The 4426-nt window shown below is 48.3% G+C and overlaps 1 protein-coding gene across 2 annotated transcripts in view, besides 1 other annotated feature; it reads left to right on the top strand.

The window, feature by feature from the left end:
* Positions 1-4426, top strand: part of RPTOR (regulatory associated protein of MTOR complex 1) — a 421531-nt gene that overhangs the window by 11207 nt on the left and 405898 nt on the right. The gene's annotated exons all lie outside the window — the stretch shown is intronic.
* Positions 1032-1232: a silencer, noted in NCBI's record as "peak3025 fragment used in MPRA reporter construct". NCBI's record gives its function as "represses an SCP1 promoter by STARR-seq MPRAs in K562 erythroleukemia cells {active_cell/tissue: K562}" and the evidence as "EXISTENCE:reporter gene assay evidence [ECO:0000049][PMID:32103011]".

Consider the following 4426-nt stretch of genomic DNA (forward strand, 5'->3'; position numbering starts at 1 on the left):
TAGGTAGATACTTTGTGGTTCCCGAGACTCACATGAGACACTCACATCAGCGCTTGTGTGATTGTAAGGGCAGTGGCCTTACATGTGGCCACACAGCCACCGTCAGGGCCTCCTATTTCTCCAGAATTCTGTCTCACCTCTCCAATCCCTCTACTCCATCCACAGACAATAAGATCTTTCTAAACACAAATTTATACACAACAATTCCCTAGCTGGGCTCCTGGGCAGCTCCCCATCACCAACTACATGCTGAGCCCAGGAATTTGAGACCAACCTAAGCAACAAAGTGAGGCCCTGTCTCTACAAAAAGTAAAAAATAAGCCGGACATGGTGGTGCGCACCTGTGGTCCCAGCAAATTAGGAGGCTGAGGTGGGAGGATAGCTTGAGCCTGGGAGGTTGAGGCTGCAGTAGTAAGCTATGATTGTGCTGGTGCACTCCAGCCTGAGTAATAGAGTGACACCCTGCTTCAATAAAAACAGCAAGAAAAGAAACCTTGGGAGCCACAAAAGAGGCGGCTGCAGTAGGAATGGACGATAGAGCATGGATCCTACTGATTTGAAGAAGGTAGAAATAGAATGTGAAGTGGATGGGTTCCAGTGGGTGGAGTTTGTGGGTGTAGTGTGGACTGGCTGGCTGGTACAGTTCCGCTCTTTTTATTTGCTCTTGAAATGGATATACTTTTCATTAGTGAGTCTCATGTGAGTTTCAGGAGTCACAAAGAGACCATCTACCCAGATTAAAAAAAAAAAAAAACTTAAAACATGCTGGCCAGGCACGGTGGCTCACGCCTGTAATCCCAGCACTTTGGGAGGTCGAGGCGGGTGGGTCACCTGAGGTCAGGAGTTCGAGACCAGCCTGCCCAACATGGCGAAACCCCGTCTCTACTAAAAATAACGAAAAATGAGCCGGGCATGGTGGCGGGTGCCTGTAATCTCAGCTACTTGGGAGGCTGAGGCAGGAGAATCGCTTGAACTCAGGAGGTGGAGGTTGCAGTGAGCCAAGATCTTGCCACTGCACTTCAGCCTGGGTGACAGAGTGAAACTCTGTCTCATTGTTCCATTCTGAAGAGCTGTGGAAGACTCTTGAGATGGATAAGAACATGTCCTCATTATCACCCTGTGGAGTTCTAGAGCTAGAGTTTTAACAAGATAGCATGTGGATTACACATAGGAGGTGTCCTCCAGTTTCTGACTCTATCCTCCTCTTATTCAAATGACTTTAAAAAGGAATTTTGAAGGCTAAGGTGGGAGGATCACTTGAGGAAAGGAGTTCAAGACCAGCCTGGTCAACATGGTGAAACACCCATCTCTACCAAAAATTTAAAAATTAGGCGTGGTCGTGGATGCCTGTTATCCCAGCTACTTGGGAGGCTGAGGTATGAGAATCGCTTGAACCCGGGAGGTGGAGGTTTCAGTGAGCCAAGATCATGCCACTGCATTCCAGCCTGGGTGACAGAACGAGACTTTGTCTCAAAATAAATCAATAACTCAATAAATCAATAAATACAAAAATAAGGAGGTATTTTGGTCATCTACAATACTTGTTTCAGGAGAGCTGAAGTTTGATACCTTTTTCTAAGTCTAAATATATGGAAAATGGCCAGGCACAGTGGCTCACGCCTGTAATCCTAGCACTTTGGGAGGCTAAGGAGGGCAGATCACTTGAGGTCAGGAGTTTGAGACCAGCCTGGCCAACATGGTGAAACCCTGTTTTCTACTAAAAATCCAAAAATCAGCCGGGCATGGTGGCAGATGCCTGTAATCCCAGCTACTCGGGAGGCTGAGGCAGGAGAATCACTTGAACCCAGGAGGCAGAGGTTGCAGTGAGCCGAGATCGTGCCACTGCACTCCAGCCTGGGCGACAGAGCGAGACTCCGTCTCAAAAAATAATAATAAATAAATACATAAATATATGGAAAATGCCATTCCAGTAAATATTTGGCATTGCAAATCAATGCTTTAACTGTGTTCTAGGCTGGGCACAGTGGCTGATGCCTGTCATCCCAGCACTTTGGGAGGCTGAGGCAGGTGGATCATTTGAGCTCAGGAGTTTGAGACCAGACTGGGCAATGTGGTGAAACTCTGTCTCTACAAAAAATACAAAAAATTAGCCGGGCATGGTGGCATGTGCCTGTGGTCCCAGCTACTCGGATGGCTGAGTCAAGGGGATGGTTTGAGTCAGGGAGGTCAAGGCTGCAGTGAGCTATGATGGTGTCACTGCCCTCCAGACTGGGTGACAGAGCTAGACCCTGTCTCAAAAAAACCCCTGAAACCCTTAAACTTGTCACATATTGGTGGGTGTGACTGCAGAGAATTGTCATGCCTTCAGAGGCCGAACAGGAAACAGCTGAAGAGGAGACAGTCGCCGAGAACAAGTTTGAATTTTACCCAGCTGTCGGTATATTTTTCAGGTGCGTTTATTGTTCTTGACTAGTACTTTTTGTATTTTAAAATGTTGATGTAATTTCAAACTGACGGAAAACCTGTAAGAATAGTATCATGAGCTTCCCTATAGCCTTTGCCCAGGTTTGCAGATTGTTTACATCTCGCCTTGTTTACTGTCACCCTCCATTTACATATTCAGACTGAGCTGGAGATGCTGTCCCCCTTCTACTCCTAAACACCGTGTCTGTCTCCTTAGAGGAGGCCATTTTCTTACGTAAGCACAGTGCAGTTGTGAGAGTCAGGACCTGTATCATGGATATGTGCTCCCGGCCCTCTGTAGTTCAGAAGGTCAGGTGTTGCTGCCTGCCCAGCAATGCCCTCATTATGCCCCGCCCGTCACCCAGGATCACACGTTGCATTTGGTGGTCGTGTCTGTGTAGCCTACCTTAATCTAAAGAAGTCTCTCAGTCTGTTTTAGACTTTCTTGACCTTGATTTTTTTAACTGTGAATTTACCATCTCAACCATCTTTCAGCACACAGTTTAGTGGCAGCAAGCACACCCACATGCTTGTGCAGCCACCACCAGCATCCACCACCAGCAGCCATCTCCAGCAGCTTTCCATCTTCCCAGACTGAAACTGTCTCCATTAAACACCAACTCCCCATTCCCCTTCCCCAGCCCTTGGTAACCGCTCTTCTGCTTTCTGTCTCTGAATGTTTTGGCCTTGCATGTAGTAGAATGTCCTGAATTTGAGCTGCCTAGTCTTTCCTCATATTCACACTGAGATGGGGCATTTTGGGTAATGATGCACCTTTGTCAGTGAATCCCATCAGGAGCACACGACGGTGCTTTGTCCCAGTACTGTCATGCTCATTTGATCCATTACCTTCAAGCCGTTTCTTGCTGAGTGGTCGCCTCCTGACTGATGCTGCCCTTTTGCCATACCTGTTTGGGAGCACGTCCTGACTTTCCAGCACAACCAGAGGGCCCAAGCTCACTCTGTGCCCTCCCTGCCCCAGTCCTGGAATTAGCCTTTTCTCCAAGGAGCCTGGTTCCTGTTAGTGGCGAATGGCATTGAGAAGCCACGAACGTGTGCATTTAGAGCTGGGCTGTGTGCTTTGCCCTTGGTGTGGCATGCGTCTCCCGTTGGTTGGCCCTCTGAGCAGGAGAGAGAGGATGGCGCTCTGTCTTGTTTACCTCTGTTTCTCTGTGTATGCTGGAACCATGGATGTGTAGAGAGAGCTCCAGTCCAGCTCCTCACCATGATATGTTCAGCCCTTCCCACTTTGCCTGCTACCACTCCCTACCCAGCCATGGGAAACCAGCTCCATTGTCCTCATTTAATCATGGGCTCAAAGCTGGAATGCACAGAAGGGAGCCTCGGAATGGCTAACGCTGGCCACTTGGGAAAGCAAATGCTGCAAGAGGTTGACTTCCTTGTTTTCTGAGGTAAACGTTACATATGGTGAAATGCACAGACCCCAGCTATCTGAACAATTGGCTCATGCTGTCTAGAAATGTCAGCATTAGTCAGTGTTTTGTGGGAAATCACTGTTGTTTTACATAGATGGCACTGCACGTAGGGTGCATGGGGTGAAGGGGACGGAAGACGTGGTCATGGCCCTGTAGGAATTTACATCTTATAAGAGAAAAACAACATCCTTACCCACAGCTGAGTGAAAAGCACAGTGCAGTCATGATCTGCCCTTGAGTAACAAGGTAGCGATTTCAGGAATTCTGCAGCTGGACATTGAGATGGTGTCTGTTCTGCACCAGAGACTTGGCTGAGCTCCTAGCTGGATGGGCTGTGGAGTCCATGGTGGCTGGACGAAGATCTGTGTGCTCAGGTGGAGTGGTTGCGGGAGCAGGGCGGAGGATGGACAATGAATTCACAAGTGACTGATGTATAGAATTTAGTCATTCAGCTACTATCATCGAGCCCCTTCTCTGTGCTGGGCACTGGGCTAAGTGCTGCGGATACCATGGGGAGTAATTCCTGCGTTGAAGGTGTTTTCCAGTCTATCAGGGCAGATGGATGA

Source organism: Homo sapiens, chromosome 17 (assembly GCF_000001405.40).
Source record: "Homo sapiens chromosome 17, GRCh38.p14 Primary Assembly".
NCBI lineage: Eukaryota > Metazoa > Chordata > Mammalia > Primates > Hominidae > Homo > Homo sapiens.